Source organism: Homo sapiens, chromosome 2 (genome assembly GCF_000001405.40).
Source record: "Homo sapiens chromosome 2, GRCh38.p14 Primary Assembly".
Taxonomy (NCBI): domain Eukaryota; kingdom Metazoa; phylum Chordata; class Mammalia; order Primates; family Hominidae; genus Homo; species Homo sapiens.
Window position 1 is genome coordinate 54,996,827 of NC_000002.12, and position 27,170 is coordinate 55,023,996.

General features: G+C 35.4%; 1 protein-coding gene and 1 pseudogene across 13 annotated transcripts in view, besides 1 other annotated feature; both read right to left on the bottom strand.

Annotated features, from left to right (window-relative positions):
- RTN4 (reticulon 4) overlaps positions 1–27,170 on the bottom strand; it is a 165,643-nt gene that overhangs the window by 24,638 nt on the left and 113,835 nt on the right. The window contains exon 1 of one of the 13 annotated variants that reach the window (NM_007008.3): positions 13,261–13,446. The exons of the other annotated variants lie outside the window; for them this stretch is intronic. Coding sequence (NP_008939.1) covers positions 13,261–13,294 — 34 coding nt within the window. The 5' untranslated portion in view covers positions 13,295–13,446. Of the gene's footprint in view, positions 1–13,260; positions 13,447–27,170 lie in introns of those variants that run through there. 13 annotated transcript variants of the gene reach the window in all.
- Positions 14,253–14,312: a silencer, noted in NCBI's record as "silent region_11493". NCBI's record gives its function as "represses an Ori minimal core promoter by ATAC-STARR-seq in GM12878 lymphoblastoid cells {active_cell/tissue: GM12878}" and the evidence as "EXISTENCE:reporter gene assay evidence [ECO:0000049][PMID:35858748]".
- Positions 17,592–17,695, bottom strand: RNU6-433P (RNA, U6 small nuclear 433, pseudogene; annotated as a pseudogene).

Consider the following 27,170-nt stretch of genomic DNA (forward strand, 5'->3'; position numbering starts at 1 on the left):
AGCAGGCAGCCTCAGCTTCCTGGGCTCAAACAATCCTCCTGCCTCAGCCTCCCAAAGTGCTGGGATTGTAAGCATCAGTCACAGCACCTAGCCAGAAAACTCTTTAAGAAAAAAATAAGTGTAAATTTTCATGACTTTGGATTAGGCAATTGTTTCTTACATATAACACCAAAAGCAGAAACAACAAAAGAAGAAAAAAGATAAATTGGACTTCATTAAAATTAAAAACTTTCACCACAAATAAAGTGGAAAGATACCACACAGAACGAGAGAAAACACTTGCAAACCAATTCTCTGATAAGAGACTTGTACTCAGAATATATTGAAAAACTTTTACAACAGTAAAAAACAATTTAAAATAGACAACAGATTTGAATAGACATTTCTCCAAAGAAGGTACACAAATGGCCAATAAGCACATGAAAAAATACTCAACATCATTTAGTCATTATAAAAATGCAAACCAAAACCACAATGAGATACCACTTCATACCCCCTAGGATGGCTATAATCAAAAAGATGAGCAATAAAAAGTGTTAACAAAAAGTGATGAAGATTAGAAGCCTCATAGATTGCTGATGGGAATGTAAAATTCAGCCACTGTGAAAAACAATTTGGCAGTTCCTCAGAAAATTAAATACAGAGTTATCTTATTACCTGGCAATTCCACTCCTAGGAATTTTCACCCAAGAAACTAGAAAACACAAAAACTTAACACACAAATGTTCATAGCAGCATTATTCATGATAGCCAAAAAGAGGAGACAGACAACCCAAATGTCTATCAAGTGATGAATGGATTGTTTTAAAAAAAGGTATATCCATATAACAGAATATTATTAGGCCATAAAACGAAATGAAGTGCAGTAGTCCTCCCTTACCTGCATTTTCCCTTTCCCTGGTTAGAGTTTCCTGCAGTCAACCACAGTTAAAAATTAGGTGAGTATAGTACAATGAGATATTTTGAGAAAGACACCACATTCATTTAACTTTAGTATACTGTTACCATGATTCTCTTTCATTGTTAAAGTTGTTAATTTCTTACTGTAACTAATTTATAAATTTAACTTTATCATAGTTATGTATAGATAGGAATAAACAGTATATATAGGGTTCAGTCCTATCTGCAGTTTCTAGGGCATACGCTAGGGGTCTTAGAGTCTTACCCCTCAAGAATAAGGGGGAAACTACTGTACTGATACATGTTACAACCCAGATGAATCTTGAAAACATATGCTAAGTGAAAGAAGCCAGTCACAAAAGGCCATATATTTTATGATTCTGTTTATATGAAGTGCCTTGAATATGCAAGTTATGAATTCTGTAGAGACAGAAAGTAGATAAGTGATTGTCAGGGGCTGGGGAAAAAGGGAAGAGGAGTGACTGCTAGAGGGTGTGGGGGGCTTTTTTTGGGAGGGGGGTGAAGAAAATGTCCTGGAAATAGATTTAAAACTTTAAAAAAATAGTCATTTCAACATACTTCTCTACTAGGTTGTAAACTCCATAAAAGAACATGTATGTCTTACTACCTAACTTTATCCCCAGAGCTGAGCAGAAAGCCAAAAACAACTAAATTTTCAATATTACTGTTGACTGATTAGAATGAATGAATACCTTATGACAGGTCACTAATTCTAATTGATTTATTTAAAAAATGTTTCTACGCTTTAGACTTAACATTTATTTTATTTACACTATTTTCAGATGTCTACATTTATTAAATAACAAATAATGCTTTCAGGTAATTTATAAAAAAGAAAACACTGTTTTGCAGGCTTGTCTCCCCTTACTAGACCCTGGAAAACTGATAAATGCCTTTCATCTTTATATTCCCATTACCTACATCATTAATGCTTGCTGCACTGTCTGAATAGCGGCCAGATTATTTTTAGAACAGAAACATTTAAATTCATTTTCAAATTAAAATAAAGGACACCTTTCAATAAGAACTACAGGATCACCAAAATGCTAATTTTGGATTCCTCAGTAATCACTTTAGTGGTTCCTTATTTTTGAAAAACCAAAATTAAGACAAAGAGTTTATACAGGGAAAGTTTAACTTTTCTTGGTTCCTCAAGTCTCCTTCTATACTGCAGAATAAAGGGTTAATCATACAAGGTAACCCTATTCTGTGGCCTCAACCTTACTCATACAAAATGTTCATTAAACATCCTTTCAAAGATCTGAGATGAATTTAGCAGTACTTTTCCATTTACAACTTTGGGGGAATGCTTATGAATTGCTAAAAATAATGTTCATCAATTTTAACAAACCCTTGTAGTTTAGAAAAAAGTAATTTATGCCCTGCAGTCCTTGCCGTTTGTCTCCAAGATAAAAATGTGAAAAATGACTGTGTGTAATAGCATCTTTATCAAAATAAAATTTTAATTCAAAATAACTCAGTACACTTAAATCTTTTCTTTAAAATAAAAACTTCTGGCTCAATGCACAGTAAGAAGAGCTGCCTACATTTGGTAATCACAAACTGTCATCTGCCATAGCTAAAAATAGTGTCAGCCTGCATTGTGCATGCCTTACGTGCAGAAGTCATCCAATTACATTTTGCCTCAAATCAAATTCTTACATTCTTCTTTGAACAGCCCGAAGTCAGGTTTCAATTTTAAAAAGCTTTTGTCTGGGAAGGCGGGGCAGTGGGGAGTTAAACTGGCTGTTCCTAAAAATACTAGGACAGGGAATGGCTGGCAGAAAAATACCTACTTTTGAAGCAAAAGCAAATATTAAGTTCTCTTTAATAATGCCAGGTGAGGAATGAGAATGGCAGTTAAATAGGAAATAAACAAATGAATATATAAATATTAGAACGGTATTAAAATTTCAGTTGTTTTTCACAACCATGTTTATAATAATAAGTAATTATATATTTATTAAGAATCACAACCCTTAATCAAATTCTTCCCAAATGCCAGGAAAAGTAATTAGAATTCAGAATTGAACATTTAGTACTACGTAATAGTAAGCTTTTGTCTCAACACAGTAAGCATTCACCTGTCAAAAAACTGACAGGCGAAGGTCCACAAAAAGGATCTGTGCAGAGTTTAGCTCTCTTCACAAAGACATTAAGAGGACCTTAAGTCCTATTTCTTTTGAGTCCTATTTCTTCCTTCAGGTTAGTATCAATATGATCTGAGAAGATAATGTAATCTCTGTTTCCCTGTGTGTAAAATTAGAAAAATAATACCCACCCCTAAGAAATTATTTGAAGCTGAATTGAAATTTCACATATGGAAATGCTTGGTAAACTGAACACACTGGTACTAAAGCTCAAGAGATAAGGTCAAGAAAGGCAATCAAATATTATATGTAATGCTTAGCTAAGCCCTGATTTTTTAAAAAAGGTGAATTCAACTTTCTCTGAAAGTATATGTAAAGAGGTTTCAATTAGCAAGTCTCAGCCTGATGGGTACCTGTTACTGCTACAAAAGTATCTCAACCAAATACCTGGCAAGCCAGCATCTGTCTTGGCTATCTCCTCTTCCTTTAACTAGAGTTTTTAAACAGATACGTGCAAAATTTCAGGTCCTTGTCTCTTCCACTAAATCTTTCCTGTCTTACTTTGATAACGTTACAGTGCTTTGGCGAATTTGAACCACCACACCTAAGAAAATAACACTTTACATGACAAACAAATAGCACTAATAAACAATCAGCAAAATTTCTATACTTCCCCTTTCTACAATAATTTTGTAATCTCCCAGTCTGAGCAAGGCACTGTGCTGAGTACATTGTATACATTACCTCGAATCCATAACAACTCTAAAAAGTATTATCTGCATTACATATGTGATGCAAATGTATTTGTACATTTGTAATGTAAACATATTGTTAAATAAATTGTGTAGGGTTACAAACTGAAATTCAAGTCTGACCATGAAGGTCTCACTCTATTATACCTTTTGTATTTAAAAGACTATATTAATACTCAAGTTTCTTTTTATGCTACTTGAGAATACCAAATGCTATTTCTACCTTAGTTTAAATAATTGAGACAGGAGACACAATTTACTAACACTACGAGTAGAGTTATAGGTGAGACCAATAAATTTCATTAAGAGATTCAATAATAGGAATAAACCATGTTTTGTTTAAATTGTTTTCTAGAAGCAATCTGAATTGTTCTCACCTTAAAAATAAATTTATACTATAAATAACAATCTATGTAATTACATATGAACTATAAAAATAGATAAAAAAGACATTGGTGAATTTAAGAATGATATTAAAATTTTTAAATAAGCAATAAACTTGACAAACACAGCATATAAAGCAACGAAAATACCATTTCTAGAAAATCTCCAGGAAACAGAAGCCAAACATAAAGATGTGAAGTTAAGTCAATGTTTACTATTCATTTTATTAAAAAACCAATCCTACACCCAGGATAGAACCTTATTATTATTACTGAGAACAAACGGCCTTTACAATTAAAATCGTTGTAAACACCGAGTGTGTTTTCACACACATACTCCTTTCCCCACATAACATGAACTAAAAGATGGTTTGTGATTTAAAAAATATGCGTCTCTAGCTCTCTAGTAACCAACACTATTTGAGGAGTACAAGATTCTCTTACCCAAGTTTAGTATTGTTAAATGGTCCCTGCAGTTATGAAGTTGCATAGGAAAGAAAATTTTCATAAATAAGAAAACATCCACTAAGTAATCTTCAAAATTAATCCAAGCTCATAAATATCCCTTACTGTTTAAATTCACCATCCAGCCTCACTCATTACCTAAATGTCTTGTCAGATAAAACCACCCAAATCAACAGTGCAAAATTGCAAATCTTCCTATTAACATGAAATTCCACAAAGTTAATGTTGTGAGTGATGCTGGAGAATTGCTCCAAAAAACACTGACAGTCCAACAGGCACTTCAAAACGGAGCCTCTCACTTCAAAAGATTAGGAAGAGCCCCCAGGAAAGTACATTTTTAAACCACTGAACATTTTTTGTAAAGGGACATTATATATGACCCACTGTGAAATTCAACCATAAAGCAAAAGAAGCCATTTTGTGCTAGTATACAATTTTGTGGCAAAAATTACATTCCCCTAAATCCCAAAAACCTGATTCATCCTCTATGTATTCTAAAACCTTATGCACGGCTGTGATTATAAACTAAATTATGTTAAGAATGAACTAAAATAAATTTATTTTCATAGTTATTGGTTTTTATGTGCCAAGATAAAGTCAATCAAATCTTATTTTATTTATTTATTTATTTATTTATTTAAGACAGTGTCTCCCTCTGTCACCCAGGCTGGAGCAGAGTGGCATCATCATAGCTCACTGCAGCCTCGACCTCCTGGGCTCAAGCAATCCTGCCACCTCAGCCTCCCAAGTAGCTGGGACCATAGGCGTGCACCACCACACCAAGCTAATTTTTTAAAATTTTGTAGAGGCAGGGCCTCCCTATGTTGCCCAGACTGGTCTCAAACTCCTGGGCTCAAGCAGTCCTCCCACTGTGGCCTCCCAAAGTGCTAGGATTACAGGCGTGAGCTACAAGGCCCAGCCAGTGGTCTTTTTTTCCTATATTTCAAGTAGAAAATGCCTCAAATATGTTGCAGGAACATAAAAACTACCTATGGCTGTTTGCCATCTTCTAAGGATAACACGAATTTCTCTAAGAGAAAAGTGAAGTTCAATAACACCATACATGCTTCATTTATAATTAAATTCACCAGTTTACTTCATTAGTTCATGTGGTTTTCAATATTTCCCTTAATCCTACACTCTTTCCAGCTTTACTAGGAGAAAACAAGCAAAAAAGGGCAGAAAACAGTTCTAATTTTGCACTCCTAGTTTTCCTAAACCATGATAATTTTCTCTTTACAGAATAATCCTACCTTTAATTTCATTTTCTCTAAGGTAAAGCTAAATATCTTCTCTTTAAGTATGTTGGATATACATGACTCTCCCTACCTGCACTCACTTTAACGATTTTTCAATTGTAAAGAATGTTAAAATGAGAACTTCTCCTATGACAAGTCTGTATTTCTGATACATGTTGATAAGCATGTGGTTATTAAGTTACTAGAATTGATCAAGACCTGCATAAATAGAAACCTAAAATTAGAAAATAAACTGGTTCAATGTATAATTTACTATAGTTTAAATTTTCCTTCTTGTTGGCCCATCTAAAGCTTAAAATAAGTAGGCACCAAGTCTTAGAAACCTGAGGTTACTGCTCAAAACCCTATTTTCTACTAACAAAAACTAAATGGAAAACATACTGTCCCGTAACTCTAGAAACTTGAAGCTTAATATACTGGAGTTGGGGGAGGGGAAGAGCTCAAAGCAAATTACTAGTTCAAAACACAGAATGAACCTCACTAGTAAGTAAATCAGTTATATTTCTTCTTCCATAACCTTATATAACTGTTGTACACACAATATAAATGTTCATCGAATCAATGAACAGTACAAATAATCATTAATATTTGATAATTTGGTAATTTTTCAGTTTTTAAATTGCTTTGAGCTTCATAAGAAAATGTTATATAGAATATGGTAGTGATATAGTATTTGAAGAAAGACGACACAAAATATTTTAGTGTCTATAATACGTCCAATGCCTAAGGGGCAGCTGAATCAAACAAACTTGAAAGCCATGAAGCAGATTAAAAAAAATACACACACACTCAGTAATATGTCAGCCTTATTCATGATAGAGCAGATAAATAAGTATAAATGTGGTGTCAGATCACTGCTCCAAGGATGCAAAGAAAAGTATTGCCTAAATTAAACATCATCCCTTAGCCCAAATTCTAGCAAGAGATGGGACCAAGTGAATACAGTCAGCCCTCTATGTCTGCAGGTTCCACATCTGCGGATTCAACTAACTGTGGATGGAAAAATGTAGCTAGACCTATGATGACTGCATCTGTAACTAAGCAAGTACAGACTTTTTTCCTGTCATTATTCCCTGAACAATATAACAACTACCTACATTGTAAAAAGTAACTCAGAGATGATCTCAACAAGATGTGCGTAGGTTTTACGAAAATACTGCACCATTTTATATAAGAGACGTGGGCATCTGTGGATTTTGGTATCCATGGTGTAGGGGGACGCGGGGTGGAGGGCTGGAAATAATCTCCTGCAGATACTGAGATGGCTGTACATAAAAAGGGAACTTAGGGGACAACCGGAGAACAAATTTAAGAATTCTATTCTCTGCCTAGATATTCTGCCTACATCCCAGCATGTAATCCAATCCTGAAAGATGAAAAGAAATTATTCTCCTGGCCCAGAGAACTCCCACTAGGTTTAACCTTTTGACAATACCTGTACTAAATGACTAACCACACCTACCTTCTTCCATGATTAGTGTGACAGACAACTGCCTGCCTTTTTTATTGCAGTGAGGACAATACGAAAGAAGTATACGACATTCAATAACATGCCACAAGTAGACTATGCACAAATAAAATATCAAAACATGGGCCGTTTTAGCTTATATACTTTTCAATCTTTGGTTATTCAAGTGCAAATATAAATTATAAAATAAAAACAAAGGCTTCATGCCACCATGGACCTGTGGCATGGTCCTGTGTGGGCCTGACAAATATTTAAATCTCTCGTTTTCTTGGTTTCCTTGTCAGTAAAACAGGAAAGTTGGAATAAATGATTAACAGAATGCCTTATCTGCAGGAATACTCTAAAAATTCTGAATCTACAGAAGTTCCTTCAGTTGCTGAATTGTTCCTTTAAGAAGGGGAAAAGTGGGGGAATCCTTTTTCTAATTGCTCCCACTTGAAATCATATTTTAAAATTTTCCAAAAATTTATGTGGGTTTAAGGCCAGAAGTAAACCTGGCTGAACAATGGAGTTCTCAGCCTTTTCCTTCATTGACAAGCTGCACCAAGTCAATCAGAAGACCCAGTGATGAAGCCATCACTGTTTTTGGCCTTCAAAAAAATTTGGAGGCTGGAAAAAGAGCCAAGATATTTATGTATAAATAATTGTAATAGAAAGTACAAAATGAAACCCCTCATGCCCTTCCCTTAGGGGGGAAAAAAAAGTACAAAATGAAAACCGAGAGATGGGAGTGAGGAACACTGAACTACCTCCCCAGGGAGGCTTAGTGAACACCTCAAGGAGAACCGGGCCTTTGATAAGGACTACTTCAGCAAAATGAAATGGGAAGAAAGGGCCTTCAAGGTGGAGAGAAAAACACAAGCAAAGGCAAAGAACAGGTATGTTTAGAAAACGAGTCCTTCAGTGTGGCTAGCGACAGGGAGTAATGACAGACGAAATTATAAAGGTTGGGGCTAGGCCATGGAATGCCTTTCAAACATCCAGGATAGACAGAAGAAACTTCATTTGAAAAGTAAGTAAAGGAAAATCCCTTAAGTGCCATGATTAGAGTTGCACTTTGGAAGAGTAATTTTAATTTCGCTGTGACACACATAATTTAGTGGAAAGATCAGTTAGGGGCCCTGGTAAGGATGAGGAGTACACAGACTTGGGTAAATAAAATAGAAAGGCTATTTCCACCATTGCTCCCACTGCTTACACATCTTACAATATAAAGCTGGTTCTTATCAAGTAATTTAATGAGTTAACACTGACGAAATAGCTATCTTAGAGTAAAAACTGTAAGAAAGGAATACATACTATTTAACCTTAGCCACAGATCCATGATAGACACTCACATTCACTGATGAAAATAACAATTTGTACAATCTTTCTGGAAAGCAGTTTTGTAAAAGGCGCCCAAAGCCTAAATAACATAACCCAGAAATTTGGAAATAATCACAAATAGAAACAAAGACTTATGTTCAGTTATAATCATTTTAGCATTGTTTTTACAGGTTGAGTATTACTGTAATATGTGGGACTAGAATATGTTGGAATATTTGGAAATATTTTGGAATACTTGCATATACGTAATGAGGTATCTTGGGAGTGAGGCCCAAGTCTAAACATGAAATTCATTCTGTTTCATCTACATGTTATACCCATAGGCTGGAAGTAATTTTATGCAATATTTTACATAATTCTGTGCATGAAACAAAGATTGTGTTAAGTATTTATGTGTGGAATTTTCTACTTGTGGTATCACATCAGCGCTCAAAATGTTTCAGACTTTGGAGCATTTTGGCTTTTAGATTTTCAGATTAGGGATGTTCAACCTGTACTTGCAAACTTTAGCAATAACCTGATTTAACTAGATGGAATTAAAATATTGTAGTCATTAAAATAGCGTACAGTATTTAAAAAATAAATACTTAATGGAGGAAAAAGACTACAGAATAAAATATACCACAAAACCCTCCCAACACACATTACCCTGTTAAAAAGATACCCCAAAACTATTCTCTATGCGATGTGAGTTTTACTCTTCTACTTACCTTCTAAATTCTCTATAACACATACCTATGTAGTGCTGCACTACTAACCCAAGATCTAGAAAATGTATCTAATGAATGCCTAAATATTCGGTTTTAACAAAGTTTAGAACTGAAAGGAGAGTCGTTCCAATCAGTAGGCCCCATAATTAATTAATGCCAAAGTTCCCTTGTTGGGCATTTTTTGGCCTTCCCGAGTAAGGCATTTCAAACAGCAAGACCCCTGCTACTCTCTACCAAAATGTCAGTATGAGCTTTATTCAAGGCTTTCAAAAAATGAAAGTAGCTTATCATAAGTAAAGATCAGAGAGCCCTAAAAGAATCTCTACACGGAAGTATGCTGCAGAAATGGTCCAAAACTAGTTTGTCTTGAGATATAATTATATTGAGTTTTAATGCTAGGAACATTTCTTTCCCTATCCTACAGAAACTTCTCTCAAAGATTACCTCTGGCACATTAACTGACAAATCCAAAGAGTACTGTAACAATAAAGAACAGTGTTGCACCTACTTTTAAAATTTAACAAGATTCACATCCATTTCTCACTCATATTAACCAGCTTCTCTAAGTATTTAATTGCCCATTCCTTCTTGAAAATTCTTTCCCCCCTTAGTATCAGTTACACTATCCTGCTTCTTTTACTGCTCTAGAACCTCCTCATTTTCCCTAAAGCCGCAGACCTCCATAACGCAGGTTTTAGGCTTTTCTTTCTTAATAGTTCTTTCAGTGCAAATCTCCTCACATAGTATTCACCTGCCTCACTCTGCATTTGACTCCCAATTCTTTATCATTAAACCTGTCATTTATCTGAGCTTCCGAGATGTTCTATCATCACTTCAAATTCAAAGCGTCTGAAACTCAACTTGGCATCTTTTCTATTTTAGCTCTATTTCTACTAATACTAAAGGACTGTCATTGCCAATATTTCACTCTAATTCAAACTTCATGTTGCCCCTTGAGTCTTTACACCTCATCCTTGTCCTGCAAATCTATACCAAATGCCAAGTATTCCTTCCTTGAATTTCTCAAATCTGCCGCTTCTTCTTCCTTCCTATTTCAGGCCAAATTCAAGCCTATCTACTTTAAATCTGGGCACAACTACAGTCATCCTAACTGGTGTGGCTATAGGTTATTCTCCCCCAGTTGATCTTATGCAGCACCCTAAACCAACTGCTATCATTTACCATTCCCTACTTTAAAACTTCCAAATCCTTTTTATTTCTTTTACAATCAAATCCAAAACTCAATGTCTTCTGCGGTCTGGCCCAGGGTATCTCTTCCATAAAACCAGAGAACCTCTCAACTGGAACCCTGGGCAGCACGCAAATGAGGAAATTAAAACCAAAAAGGTAAGTTTCTTATTCTAGCCAAAATCAAAATATACCAGAACCAAGGCTTAAACCCTAGATCACTGTTTCCCGAATTTGCCCAACAATATGAATTACACCAGGATGCTTAATATGCAGATTGCCAGGCCCTACAAAATCTGATTTGGTAGGTCACGACCCAAGGAATCTGCATTTTTAAGAAGCACTAGATGATTCTCATCTACAGAGAAGTATGAGGAAACCTAATCTAGTTCATCTAAATTTTCTACATTCCTTGACCACACCAATCTTATCTTTCAACTCCTGTCCTAAATATTCTGTTCTACCCAGAAAGTTATTTACTGTCTCAACTATAGCTTTTTAGTGGTTATATCATTCTCCTACCCCATCCAAATCCCTAGGCCTACCCATTCCTTCCTATTTTAAGCTCCTAAAAATCTTTTGACTACCTTAATCAAAATTTTCCATATAACCCCAGTAATCGAATACTATGTAAATGTCATTTGTCATAAGTATCCTAAACAGAAAATATGAAGAATATATAAAAGAATGCAAATTATTAATGCTTTCAGCCTGAAAGATCGAGTATCTTAAATACCAGTTAATCGGCAAGCAAACACACACACACACACACACACACACACACACACCACCTTTTAAAGAACACTGAAATCAGAGCATCTCTCAAATCTGTCACTATGCTATACTGGTGGTCAGGGGGAGAATGCAGTAGAAAAATGCCTAAGTATATTTTTTAAATTTACCTAGACCCTAGATTAGGCTCCTTCTCTGCTGTCAAACTATTTTTTTTTTAGATGAGGAAAAACTCATTCCATGACAGCTTCCAACTTCTCAGTGATTTCCAACTTAAACCTTACTCTGTAATCTTAAATATTACTCTGTAATAATAAAATTGTCTGCTGATAGAGAAAATACTAAAATATAATTTAACCACTGACTCAGAAAAACAGGCAAAGTTAATCTTACCGACCAAAACAGCCAGACAGGTACTAAAAAATATTAGGCCATTCCACTTACAAAGTGAGGCTCCCCAGAGATATTCAGGAGTAAATTCAATTTTACATTTGAGTACCTAAAAATAATCAAACAAATCTCTGGAAAAAATATGAACTACATTGGAACTTAATTTCTCCTGTCTCATAATACCTTTAAATTACTTCAACAAATAAAGAACTTAAGATGTTATTTAATGATTTAAGACTTAAGTTATTAATAAAGAACCTTAATAGTTGCAGAATGAGCCCTGATACGACTTTTCACCTACTTTTAAGGCCTGTATTTATTGTATTATTATCATTTGTATCATTTTCACTTAGCAAAAGCTACCATATATCAATTCATCAATCTGTAACGTCAACGGCTAACAGGATGAAGAAATAAAAATCCTTCTCTTTAAATTCACATGTAAAGAAATCCTAAAGGCAAAACCCAAAGCTGTATTGTTTTCTATTATTTTTTAAGTTGCAACCATAAAATCTTACCAATGTCTCAATATGGTCTCAATCTTAAATTCACCTTTTCCCCACATCTTTATTGAACAAATTTTTAAAAAGACATTGTAAAAGTTACTGTAATTAGCTCTACATACTTTTAGAAATATTGTTGCCAATCCTGCTAGAAGGAAATAATTTTTTTTAATTATAAAACTTGAATGTAGCCAGGAAAAAAATTGCTTACGTAGAATGTCTATTTTGGACTACTTAAAAATAGCTCTAATAATTTAAAGGTAATTTATTATAAGTGGTCAGATATACAGCCTACCACTTTCTTTTAAAGAAAAAAAGGTAGATTTAACCATCTACATAATAAAATATTCTTTAAATATTCTAGTCAACATTTTACCATTTACAGGCTTAAATTCTTACACAATGATCCACTGAGATTTGAAAGGATCTGGGCTTTCAAGGGGGAGGAAAAGGGATCAAAATCACTGATTGGTTATTACAAGGACAAAGGTTAGTGACTTAAATATAGACATGCATTTAAAATTACTGCGTAATTATACTGTGTAATTTGAATGATTTCAAGATGCACATAATCTGATTAAAAGAAAGTTGGTAATAATTTTAAAGGTTCAAATCAGATTTTCAAAGAAGAGGCTTACTGCAAACACAATATCTTGCTACCTACAAACCTTTGCACAGAATTTCAACTACACCAAGTAAGGTTTTTTAAAATAGTCACGGAAAATATGTCACTGTGAAACACAAAAACAGCAATGTGTATTTACCACATCCAAGTGACGAACAAATGAAATCTGTTAGATCTATATTGTTTACAATGTGCAAGATTAGAGAACAGAACCTAAACGGCAGGACTGAAAAGACTAAACCGAATGCCAGTGAAACAGAACAGCATGACATTTTCTGGTATACAACCAAATGTAAAAACACGTGAGATAGCCGTTTTAATCCTTTAGACTTCAACTCTTCAGAGGTTTCACTTTCAATCCAAAATATCTAAATTCCAAAGCTTATTCATAGAAATATATTAGTGGTCACATATAAAAACTGAATAAGAAATTAAAAAGCAGATATACCCTTGTCCTTCCAATTTTTCTTCTGACCGTCCATCTCTTGTCACGATCTGCTTTGCAGCTCCAATTATTAATTATGCATACCAACAGAAAAGCTGTAACTGCACAAACCTACTCCCTGAGACATGAAATACCCGTTTCCTCAACCGAAGTCTGCAGTCTCCTCTGCTGCACAACTGCAGCAGGACTGAAGTCACCTGACGTCTTCTGGGTGTGGAACAGTCTGACGCAGTGCAATCTGTAACTAGGCTACTAATACTCCAGCATTAATGCTTTCCTTCTATCTGTTGATTGTTTTAGGCATTTGCCTTGTTGCTCATACCAAATGGAGCTGCATTTGCAGGGAGAGGGCAGGCTACCAAAAGAAAGGAAATAAGGGTTGTTCTTAGAACTAACCACTGAATGTATCTGAAATGCAATTAAAGCCATATGCAGTTTTTTTTTCTTTCTTTTTTTAACAGATGGTCGAATTATGCTACTGGTTTTCAGTTTCATTTAAAACTCTAAAATTAATGGTTACCTAATAAGATAAAAATGGACTGATCAAATATTAATAGCCTAAATTTCAAGCTTGTGAAATGATGAGTCTCCTTAATTGCTCCTAAGTTCATTAAGACGTAAAACATTCAGCATTTTGCACCTTATGAAGAGATAAACAGAAAATAAAAGTCAAATTACTAATGTTTATTGAACATATTATTTGAACAGAAAACTTTAGCAACTTAATCTTCCTAATATCTTTTTTCCTCTTTTACAATTATGGAAATCCAGAGACTTACAAACATACACTTACTCTTAATCATCATCTGCTCCAACTCAATCTTTGAATATTTATTAGACACCTCTACAGACAGTATTAATAGATTCTTAGCTTGGGGAGATATATTCATGGGCTAATGATATAATCTGCCATGGGAAAATGACATAAAAGCAAACTATAATTTTATTTTATTTTTTATTTTTTTCTGACACAGGGTCTCGCTCTGTCACCAAGGCTGGAGTGCAGTGGTGCAATCATTGGTCACATGGCAACCTCAACCTCCCAGGCTCAAGAGATCCTCCCATCTCAGTCACCACAGGCATGTGCCACCATGCCCAGTTAATTTTTTATTTTTACACTTTTTTTAGAGATGAGGTCTCCCTGTGTTGTCCAAGCTGGTCACAAACTCCTGGGCTCAAGCAATTCTCCCACCTCAGCCTCCTAAAGTGCGGGGATTACAGGTATGAGCCACCACACCTGGCCTAAAATTTTACTGAAAAATATAAAAACAAATCTATGTACAGCATTTTTAAAATCTGTGTTCAACTTTATAAAACTGATTTTCATTCCAATGCAGTGTCTCTACTTATGTTCCACAATCAATTCACCTGATACTTATATCTGCCTAAGCAGAAAAGGCACTAACAAATCAGCTAAAATATTTTAAAATGCAATTTGCGAAAATACTATAAGATACGTAGCCTATGTACAAAAATACATACTTAAGACTGTATAGCTAAAATGAAATAGAGATAATATTTTCTGGAACCTGCTATCTGTGGGCTGCAAAATCCTTAATATCAGAAGTGGCTTGATATTAATATATACTCCTATTATGTACCCAAAAAAACTAAAAACAAAACATGTAAGACTTAAACATAGAAAGAACTAAAATTAGGAAAATGAGAGGGGAAAAAGGAAGTGGCTTGAATATCAATGACACATTTATTTCCCTATCTGCCTCTCTAACTCCAAACATAAATAAAGAAAAGTAATTTTTAAAAGAGCCCAGTATTCTCAGCTCGAGTTAATATTTAACTTTAAACTTTATTCACTGAACCCCTGCATAATGTGATATTTGAGAACCCGGTCAGCAAGCCATATCATGGCCTGAAAATGTCTGGCCTCTCCACGCAACATTCAGAATCTCAAACTATTTAGTAAATACAAAATACTGACTTTCTAATAACAAGTCCCTTAAAACTGAAAGCCAATAAATAACGAGCATTAGAATAAAACACTCAACTATAGTACTCAAACACTATTTTCAAGTCAGAGATTACTTCACTAGTAGAAGAAAAAAGTTTTACTGTGATCAAGTTACTCGGCACTTAAGACTACTTGTATCTTCCGTGGTACTTGATTTGGCTTAACAATTAAAGAAAAAAGTCTGAGAGGGGCAAGAATGTGTAATAAGACATACCCACTCATCTAAACATTAAACATACTTAATAGCACCCCTGACAGATTAAAAAGTCAAAATAGGAGCCCTGAAGTTTAGTAAACATTTCAGCCTACATAGTGACATCTACTTCTTTAATTTTTATGGTCTTTGTAAGTGTACAAGGAAAACTAGCTTGTGGAAATCAACTGACATTTTGCCCAGTTCTTTCTCACAAAGTTTTTCAACTAGACTTGTTTTAAGTTTGGCAAGTTAAGCAAAAAAGTGCTTAAATCTGAAAAACTGATATGACACAAATTTGTTAAAGATGTAAAGCCAGATGGGCTATGTTTATTATGAAAATCATATAATCTCTACTAAAAATAGAAGGCTTTAGGACATTGCCTGACAAAAAGTAGGCACTATGTAAGTGCTATTTACTTATCAGTATGCTAAAAATAACAATCAAACTAAGAAGCAACAAGACAAGTAAGGCACATCTAAGAAAGCTCATATATTAAGTCCTTCAACTCTAGGCAATAACCCAATCTTTCTAAACAGAATTGCCCCCTCTCATACACAAACTATTGTCGTTGCTGTATAGTTCTATTATTTTCCAGCTGAGAAAAATGTACATCTGCATAGTTTATAGGTCCTATTCCACAATGAACCCCAACTTAACAAGTCAAATAAAGAAAGGACATAAATCTGTTAAAAACTTATCTTCATTTATTTTGTTTTCCTTCAACTACCTAACTTTTAAAAAAATTAATTCTTTTGAGGACAATTTTCAAGTAGAGCACATGTCTCAACTTGCAGAATGGCATTTTGACTATTTGAGACAGGAACCTCTTTTCCCATAAAAGCAAAGGCTCACAAAGGAGAGGCCACAGAAAACTCCTTTATTTATACTGCAAGCCAATAAAAGTGTTGTATGAATTCTAAGCCCTATTTCATATTGTGTGTTTGTGGAGGGGAGAAGAGGGGAAAAGTATTCTCCTTTTCCTGAACTCAAAATCAGCTTTATACAGAACTTTTGAAATAAACTGTTCAAAGTTCATATTTGGCAATTTCCCACTCCTCAATGTCCATGTCCCCAGTATCCCCTTCTCCCAAGCATGACAAAAAAATCAAAGATGAAAACTTGCCCAAATACATATCCATAATGTCTTTCCTTTGCATCTTATGAAGGGATAAGCTCTAAAGGGTAATATGCTGTAAAATTACCTACACGGTTTCTTTTCTCACATCTCAGACCAAACCCTCGTTTCCTTCATGCACTTACCTGTTAAGTAGGAAATACGCATAAATCAATTCCTACTAAACAAGAAACTCTTTTATGACCTCAGAAACTGTGTGTATGTTTTTTGGTGGGTTTTTTTTTGGGGGGGGGGGAGGGTGTAGGGGGGGTGGTATCTAACTGGCAAGATTTCAGACAGTAGAAAGTTATATTTTAGATTTTAGAACAGGCAGCACTAGGCAAGGTGTTAAGTCCACCCCAGCCAGCTCTTATTCTAAGACATTCTTCCTTTTCCATTTCTTTCTTTCCTCTACTTCTGCACCCAGGAAAAACTCAGGTTTTTGTTTTGCTTCGTTTTTCTTTACAACATTTAGAGATGCAAGGGAAAGAGGGTGGGAAAGCAGCAATCATTTGGATTGAAAATGCTACTCTGAAAGTTAGAGACTGCTTATGTACACTGCTCTTGAGAGCTAAAATAATTTATACTTTCCAGCCACAGAAAATAGGCATGTTTTTTAAAAAATAAGAAACAATTATAGCTACACAGTAGTTTTAAGCTTATTTCAAAATTTAACTATTCTGAGCTACACAAAGGTATGAAATTAACATGTTTCAATACTGAAAGGAGTTAATTTTTAAAACCCTACCATATGCTGTAATATAATGCCCTCTATGGACTAAATTACAGCACTTCAACATTACTGAATTAAATCTTAAGAACTGGAAAAAGATTTTAGTCTAGAAAATGAATGACAGTACAAGTTAAAATAGCAAAACAACGAGCATTTTAAAGTCTATAAAAAATTTAACATAAGGTACCAAAAATGAATACTAAAATTCATAAACTGAAAGTGACACTATTTATGAAAACTAATATGCTAACTTCTTACATTATAATCTAAAACATACAAATATTCTTAAACACCCAAAGCATTTTTAAAAATTTTTTATATAAAAATATGAAACACTTCACAAATTCTATGCGTCATTCTTGTGCAGGGGCTATGCTAATCTTCTCTGTATAATTCCAATTTTAGTATGTGCTGCTGAAGCAAGCATTTTTTTTTTTTTGGAGACAGAGTCTCGCTCTGTCACCAGGCTGGAATGCAGTGGCACGATCTTGGCTCACTGCAACCTCCACCTCCCGGGTTCAAGTGATTCTCCTGCCTAGCCTCCCAAGTGGCTGGGACTACAGGTGCGTGCCACCAAGCCCAGCTAATTTTTGTATTTTTAGTAGAGACGAGGATTCACCATGTTGGCCAGGATGGTCTGGATCTCCTGACCTCGTGATCTGCCCGCCTTAGCCTCCCAAAGTGCTGGGATTACAGACGTGAGCCACTGCACCTGGCCTCAAGCACGCATTTTTAAATTCTGAATTCAAGAATTAATAGTCACTAGGCCCTAAACAGATCTTCTTAAACTTTAATGTCTTCATTTAAGTATCCAGGTTTGGGGGGAATCTTTAAGGTCATTTCATAATGTTTATAGTAGTATGATTAAAGCATTTGTTTGATTTGGTACAAGATGTCAATATTCAAAATTGTTTATAAAAATTTTAAACTCATCTGTTAGTGCAAAACGATATTCACAGCTCGCTAAATTTCTCTGTCCAACTGAATTTATTCCACATAGTCAATTATAGATCATTCCACAGACTTGATCTTCCATCTGCAACACTAGATGGCACCAACACCCGTAGTCTACAGTTGATTGCCCAGTTCATGGAAGGCAATCTGGCAAACATTAACTTTCTGGCTTTTCCACAAGATTGCTGCCTGGCCCTAGGCAGCTAGATCAGAGTATGGGAATAGGAAAACAACTCTAACACCAAAAAAATACGTGGGGCAAAATAATCCCTAATCGGAATCCAAAATCAATTTTAAATAGATCAGAACTAAGTGTAAAATTAAAACTATAAGTAAATAAAAAATATATTTTCCTTTGTGAAAACTGAAAATGTCCACTGAAATGTAAACTAAAAATCTTTTAGAAAACTGAGGGAAAACTATAACACAAGAGTTTACATCCTTTATATGTAAAGAACTCTCATAAAATCAGGGAAAAAAATGAACACCTACATTTAAAAATGGGCAAAGAGTATGAACAAGCAAAAATCACAGAAGAAATACAAACTGCCAACATGTTCACATTCACTAATAATCAAAGATCAAAAAAGCAAGTACTACTTGCACCTATCAAACTGGTAAAGGGCTTTTAAAAAATACCTAGTACAGAATGTCCAGAAGAATATTTAAGGAACGAGTCATAGTAGATAACTCTAGGAAACAGCACTAGGCAGCTGGACAACAGAGAGAGAGGAAGAAGTGTGACTGTCACTGTACTTTCTGCATTTTGTATAATGTAAAAATATTATCTATCAAAAAATAAGCAATATGAATTGTTGGTGAAAGTAGAGAAATGGGTGTTTTCTTCTTCTGATAAAAGGGTAAAAATTAGTACAACTTTTCTGGTGGCCAATTTTTATACAAACCCTTATAAATGCTCATACCCACTAACCTAGGTTTTTATTTCAAATTGATTTATGGAAAATAATTCAGGGATATGTAAGACATATTTAAATATAAAGAGGTTAATAGCATTATTTATCAATAACAAAGGAACAATCTAAGGGTCCAACAATAGCAAAGTGACTGGTTAAACTATACCCATACTAAGGAACACTAAGTACAAAAAATCAGCAGCAAAATATTTAAAGACATGGAAATGTTTGCATTATATAAGACATTACTAAAGTTTTTAAAAGCTTATAAACAATATATAGAGTATGATTCCAATTTCATAAAACACTATTACATTCTTAAAAATACACATATGCGGCCAGGTGCGCTGGTTCATGCCTTTAATCCCAGCACTTTGGGAGGCCAAGGTGGGCAGATCACTTAAGGTCAGGAGTTCTGGACCAGCTTAGCCAACATGGTGAAACCCTGTCTCTACTAAAAATACAAAAATTAGCCAGGCACGGTGGCCCACACCTGTAATCCCAGCTACTCGGGAGGCTGAGGCACGAGAATCGCTTGAACCCAGGAGGCAGAGGTTGCAGTGAGTGGAGATCCCGCCACTGCTACTCCAGCCTGAGTGACAGAGCGAGACTATGTCTCAAACAAAAACAAAAACAAAACACATGTGCATTGAAAGTAGACTAGAATAATATATTCTAAAATATTAAACATTGATTATGTCTGGGTAATATGATTATAATTTTTTTCATCTCAATGCTTTTCTACATTTTTCAAATTTGTACAATGAGCGTGTATTGTATGTCAGACTGCTTCATAAACTGTTGCTCTAACTTCACTGATAGTTATCAAGTCCTTAGAAAAAATCCTTATTACTAAAATATTGAAGCTCAAGTAGATTAAAACATTTGCCAAGGGTCATACAGCTAAATCAGTGAAAGGGTCAGAATTAGAACTCAGGTCTGTAAAATGCCTAAAATTAAGTTATTTAACCACATTATATTTAGCAGGTATCTCTTTTTTATGGTACATATTTATTTTCAATCTGTATTGGGCCCACAGTAAGCACTAAATAAATCCTCACTAATTTAACAATGTCACTTTTTAAAAAGTAAATATAATCGTTTCCTTTATTAACAAGAGTCAGGTTCTAATTTAGCTACATTGTACATCTACTGATAGCCTTCCAGTTAAGATTAACTACTTATCATAATAAAGTCCAACTTACATCAAAATTTTCCAAATATTATTTGCTCAATAAAAATATATTTTAAACAAAATATCAACTCTTAGTATCTACAGTACTTCAGTAAAAAAACTCAAAGGCTATATATACTTTTTCAGAAAAATATTTTAAGTCGTAAGAATATCAAAACAATTCTTATTCATGAACATATGTAAGTTCTTATTCATGAACATATATAAGTTTGCAAAGCTAATTTCGTACTATTTACCTAGACAAACAAGCCCTTTTAAAGTGAGTGATCATGGTAATACTACTTGGTGAATCCTGGGTATTACATAGTTTAATTATAATGAACAAATAATCAATGTATGGTCGGTTTACACTTCACTTACCAATAGTTCCAATTAGTTCAGCAAGACACAATCTATATTTCGATTACGAACTAAAAATATTCTCTGTGCATTAGTGACAAGCAACCAACAAACATATATTAAGTTATCATTAAGTCAAGATCTCAGCAGTTTGGACAGGAAACATGAGCACCTTTCTGTACCAATGGCCTACCAACATAAACAGATGATAGCAGTTGTCCAAAGTAGGGTTTTTCAGTCTCCACATACTAGCAACAGAATGTTACCCTAGTTCCAATATCCTTACATATGTGAGAAAATGTAGATGGCAACCAACTTTCTTGACATCTTAAGATGTCAAGAAATGTCTTACATTGCCTAATGGTTCAACACAACAGATATATGATAAAAGCAGTAGCACCTTGATTGCCTGCTAAAGTTAGGACAATAACTGCTTATTCCAAAACCAGGAAATAACTGTGAACGGACAAAACCTGAGTTGGAATCGCAGTTCATTCTTGTGAAACTAGGTAACAACTAATACAAATAAGAAGTTAGCCCAATGTCTGAAACACGGCAGAAGCTCAAAAACATTGTGCTTATTACATAATTTACCAGGTATCCTTGAAAAAGTTACTTAACATCCTTAGGCTTAGATTTTATCATCTATAAAATGGTTCCTTCTTTCAGATTATGGTGAAGACCTAAATGAAACAAATATGTGAGAGTGCTTGTTGGTCAGAAGATGTTCCATAAATGATAGTCTTCCCTTTCCAGATAAAATGAGAAGAATTCAGCTTTTCTCAACACTTTAAAATTCTCAGTTAAAAACCTAAAACTGGGAGAAAGAAAATCTAGAACTGAAACAAATGAAGCTAATTGTATTTCAAATGAATATCATAGCCATTAGTCAGTGGGAGAAGGACGCAGGAAAAAGAAAAAAGAACAAACTAATACAAGTAATCTGTGAATAATGTATTTGACTATATACATTCCATCTTAGGCAGGGTTGCAGAGTAGGGATTTGCAAACAATCCAGAACTCTTTTATCAAGTTTTTTTTTTATTATAGTGATATGAAAAAAGCATTCTAAAACTCTTATAGGTGTATTAAAGGACTGGATATAAATAATGTATTGGTGGTCTTAGGAACCAGGGTTCTCACTATAAAAGAAGAGACAAATATGAAATCAGGAAAGAAAGAACAAACCCTGTGAGAATGGATTAGAATTAGAGGTATCTATGTGAACTCATTTCTTAAGTATGTATGTGTATGTGTGTATGTTTATTTTTATGTATGTATATAAGCATTTCCTAGCTTTATCCACTGAAAGGGTTAAAATGGAAAGATCCCCACAGTAGCAATGACCACAACTAGCATCTAGCTCTTGATCTTTAATACCTCACTATTATGAAAATGACCTCTCATTCTACATTAAAAGGAATCAGGCATCCTTGGAGAAATGGCTGATTCCAGGGCTGGGACACGGTAAGCATAAAATAGGCCTACAATATTTTGTTAGGCTAGAAAGTAAGAAATGCTCCCCTCCCAACCCCAAAGAAAGAAGGTTGCATGTCCCTGAGCCTACCTGAAGGAACCCTCAAAATATGCAATAATTTACCACCAAAATAATAAAGTTCAGTAATGAATCATAAACCATTGGAAAGAAAATGGAAATTCACGGATCCATACTGATAATTAATTAGCTAATTAATTCATTAATGGAAATGGAGGTCTGCTGCTTAAACAGGAATGCTGAGGGTCAAATGAAAAATGTACGGGGAGTACTGGAGTTAAAATCATTTTTCAACTCTCATGGTAAAGACTGGATCAAGCAAGAATCATCAATGGTTTACTAAATTGGAGGGGCGAATTTTGATAGGGAGCAGGATATCTGCATGTGTTCAAGTGTCACTCCTCAGACTGCTTATCATCTGCAAGGGAGAAACAAAGACAATATAAGGAAATCAGAGCTCATCTTGCCCAGACGGTCAAAATTAACATAACCAGTGAGGGACTGATGAATAGCAGATAACTCTAGAAGTGGTGCTATGAGAGGGACACATCATCATCTATACAGTATCATAAATGAACCCATAGCCTCAAATTAATCACTAGGAAACATCGGACAAATCCACTAGGAGGAATGTTCTATTATAAAGTCGGGGGAAGAGAGGCCCTGTGTTCTTTAAAACTGCTAATGTCATAACAAATAAATAAAGACTGAAATGGGAAGTCCTACCCAGAGCAATTGAGCAAGAGAGAAATAAAGGATATCCAAATTAGAAAAGAGGAAGTCACATTGTCCCTGTTTGCAGATGACATGATCTTATATAAAGAAAAACCTAAAGACTACCAAAAACTTGTAAATTCTGTAAAGTTGCAGGATATAAAATCAATAACAAAAATATCGCATGTCTTTACACAAACAACAAACTAGCTGAAAAAGAAATCAAGTAGGAAACTCCATTTGCAATAGCTTAAAAAAAAATACCTCAGAATAAGTTTAACCAAGGAGGTGAAAGACTTCTACGAGGAAATCTACAAAACAATGATGAAAGAAATTGAAGAGGATACAAACAAATGCAAAGAAAGACATTCCATGTTCATGAATCATAAGAGTTAACATTGTTAAAAAATGGCCGTAATATCCAAAGCAGTCTACAGATTCAATGCAATCCCTAATAAAATACCAATGACCTTCTTCACAGGAATAGGAAAAAAAATCCTAAAATCTGTATGGAACCACAAGACTCCAAAAAGCAAAAGCAATCCTGAACAAAAATAAAGCTGGCGGAATCACACTACTAAATTTCAAAATATACTACACAGCTATAGTAACCAAAACAGCATGGTACTGGCATAAAAACAGAAACACAGACCAATGGAACAGAACAGATAACCCAGAAATTAATTAACATATCTATAGCCAATCAATTTTTGGAAAAAAAAAAATGCCAAGAACATTCATTGGGGAAATGCCAAGAACATTCATTGATACTACTACTGAGAAAAAAAATCAGTATTTACATTCCAATAGTAAGAATATAGTTTGTCACAAATTTCTTTGTAAATGGAGGGGGAGGAAGACCAGAATTCATTAGTTTCTTGACAAACTTTACTTCCCAAAATTAATAAAGCACCATCTGCATCACAATACCTTATTCATCTCTCTTGCAAAATCAATCTTTCTTCCCAAAACTAAAACTGATTTCTGCCTACAAAATGTCATTTTAAGAAAACAAGAACAGGAAAGTCCTGGAGGCTCACACCTGTAATCCCAGCACTTTGGGAGGCAGAGGCGGGAGGATCCTTGAACACAGGAGTTTGAGACCAGCCTAGGCAACAAGGCAAGACCTCCTCTCTACAAAAATAATTAGCCAGGCATAGTGACACGAGCCTTTGGTCCCAGCTACTTGGGAGGCTGAGGACCACCTGACCCTGGGAGGTTGAGGCTGCAGTGAGCCATAATCTCACCACTGCACTTCAGCCTGGGCGACACAGCAAGAACCTGTCTCGAAAAAAGAAAAGAAGAACATATGAGATAATAAATGATCTGAGGAAATTAGTATTTTATTATTTAATAGTTTAAATGTTTAAATGCATATACATTAATAAGACCCAGAATTTTTTTAAAAACACACTTAAATATTTCATAATTAGAGATGGCATAAAACTTTTAAGTCATCTGAGAAGAGAGCTTCCCTTATGTTTTATCAGACCACTGCTGTATTTTGGTACATTTGACTTCAGTACACTTGAACCTCCCTTTCACGAAGATACACAGGTAAGTACCTATCCTCACTATAACATAGATCACAATGTTTAACTATGTCCTCAACAGTGTGTCTGTACCAGCTGGCTGTAAGTTGCATAAAGCGCAAAACTTTGTCTTAGTTTCATCTTTTTCCCTGCCCCCCCCGCCAAAAAAAAATCTCATATAGTGCCTGATAGAAGCATGTTAAAGCAACTCTTACCTGCTTTTACACTTTTTTTTTTTTTTGTCTTTTTTTTCTCCCTTTTTTGTGGAGAACGGAGTCTCACTATATTGCCCAGGCAGGTCTCGAACTCCTGGGCTCAAGCTATCCTCCCACCTCTCCCTCCCTGAAAGCTGGGATTACAGGCGTAAGCCATTGTGACTGGCCACTACTTACCTGCTTTTAACAGATGCCTGTTATATAATCAAGTCAAGAAAATTATTAAGTTGCAAGGACTTGAGCTAATCCACCCTTCCTTTTATAGAAAAGGAAAATGACATCTAGAGAAACAAAGTGATTGTCAGTGGTATAGCCAAGACTAAAACCTCAGGTCACCTATATTGTTTTCATTATAGCAATACTGGGTTTCCTTCCCACAACTTTTGTAGAATATATATATTGGGTGTATCTAAATAATTCTCTATTCCCTAGTAAGTTGCTATGATAACTAATATCAAAAAAGGTTAAGTCAAAAAGGCAGGAAATAACAATTTTCTCAGAGAAGGGAGATAAACATATTCTAAAAGAGAATGCCCAAGCATTGCTTACACTTTCTTCCACCATTCCCATTAAGCTTTCAAAGGCAATGCCCCCTTTTCTTCCCTTACTTCTAAACTATTAGGCTATAGATTTCCCAGGTTTAACAAAAACAATCCAAGAAATAGGTGACTCCTGAAATACTGAAATTCCTAAGGGCCACCATCTACTAGAGGACTGCTAGCTTTAAGTTTTGGGAGGAAGCACTAGCGGGGAGGGGAGACTTCAAAGGTGTTGCTACACCGATTACTCCTTGCTCTTCACCCAGTCATCACCAAGCTGCTCTGGGCTTCTGAGACCCTTCTTTCTACTGTTCCCTCCTAAACCATTTTACTGTGCTGTTTGAAACCCCCATTCCACTGTGAACCAGCTCCTCTACTCCTCAACATCTTTACTGAACATTCCTGCCTTTACCTCGCCTTCACTAAAACCTGGCTGTTCCTTGAAGATACTGGTTTCCCTGTGGAACTTGCTAAATGAAGGCTAAATCGTTCTCTCATATTCTACACACCTAAGGGAGGAGTGGGGAGGTCAGTACCCTCTGCTCACCAATGCTGCTTCCAGACTTTTATTTCAGAGACCTTGGGCAAAAGTCTTGGCTATTCCGCTACGTCATTCTCTGTCCTTCCTCATTTCTTCTACCTACCATCCTGCCAGTTACCTCACTGCCCTTTACCAAGGACTCTAACCCCAGTATTCCTCTCCACCCCTAGTCCTGCCATCACCCTGGGTGACTTCAATGTTAGGTAGAAGTGCAATACAGTATCATGGCCTCATAGTTTACTTGACCTCACCTCTAGCAATCTTAATCTGACTACACAGTAGGCCTTTGCCTGATGGCCTAACACTGGCCATTATAATCAACCTGAACTGCTATTCCTCTGAAATTCTAAATTCAACATCCAACACACACACACACACACACACACACACACACACCCTGCTCTCCCGCACATGCATTCTTTCTCTCCCCTACTTTGACCACAATCTCCTATCATTCTGGCATGTATTTATTCCTACTACTATTGGTTCTTAAACCTAATCTGGGCCTTGAGTTCACTGACCATCTACTCTCCTCCTACCTCTCCTACCTTTTTCTATTCACATCCTTCAACTTAGATGCCACAGTCCATCACTTCAAATTACTCTCCTGCTATCACCCTCAACTTTCTTGACTTACTGTCCTTCCACAGGGCCCACCTGCCAAAACACATCCTTGAATCAATACAATCATTTGCCTTCCCTGAACCCATACCTAGGTTGTTTGGCACAATCAAAGAAAAGTCACCCTACCATTTAGACCACCTTTCAACCTTGATTAGGCTCCTAATACAATGCCTTTGGTTTCCCTAGTCAGAGGTATTGCAGATCTCTTCCACCCAAGCATGATCTACTTCATTCCCAGCAAATGAACTAACATACTGCTTTAAAGAACAAACATAAACCATCAAATAATTCCCTCAACTTTCAGTCACAAAACCCTAACAGTATCAATACCCCATACTTTCCTTTCCACTCACTACAATCAAAGCTCTATCGTTCCTTCTCTCTAACACTAATTCTTCCACCTGAACTAGGCAGCACATCCCCATCCCCTTCTGACTTTCTGCCAGCACCTGTAATCAGATTTTCCCCTTCCCACCTTAAAAAAAAAGTCCTACCTCCACTGCATACTCTCCTTCCTGCTTGCTAATATTTTAATTTTTCTCCAATAAAAATCTCAAACTTCTTAAGAGTAATCAACATTTAATAACCACTTACTCAAGTCTCATTCACTTCTCAATCCTAGCCATGCCCATGCACACCACACCATTTGCCGCTGTCATGACAATATCTTCCCTCCTTTTTGACCAACTTGCAATCCTTAACTGACCTCTCCAGTATTTGATAATTTTGACCATTTCTTCCACCTTCAAGTAGTCCTCTTCTCTTGATTCTTCCTAATTGGTATCTGGGGCTTTAATTTCTATCTCTAAGCCCATGACAGACACATACAGCCAAGATC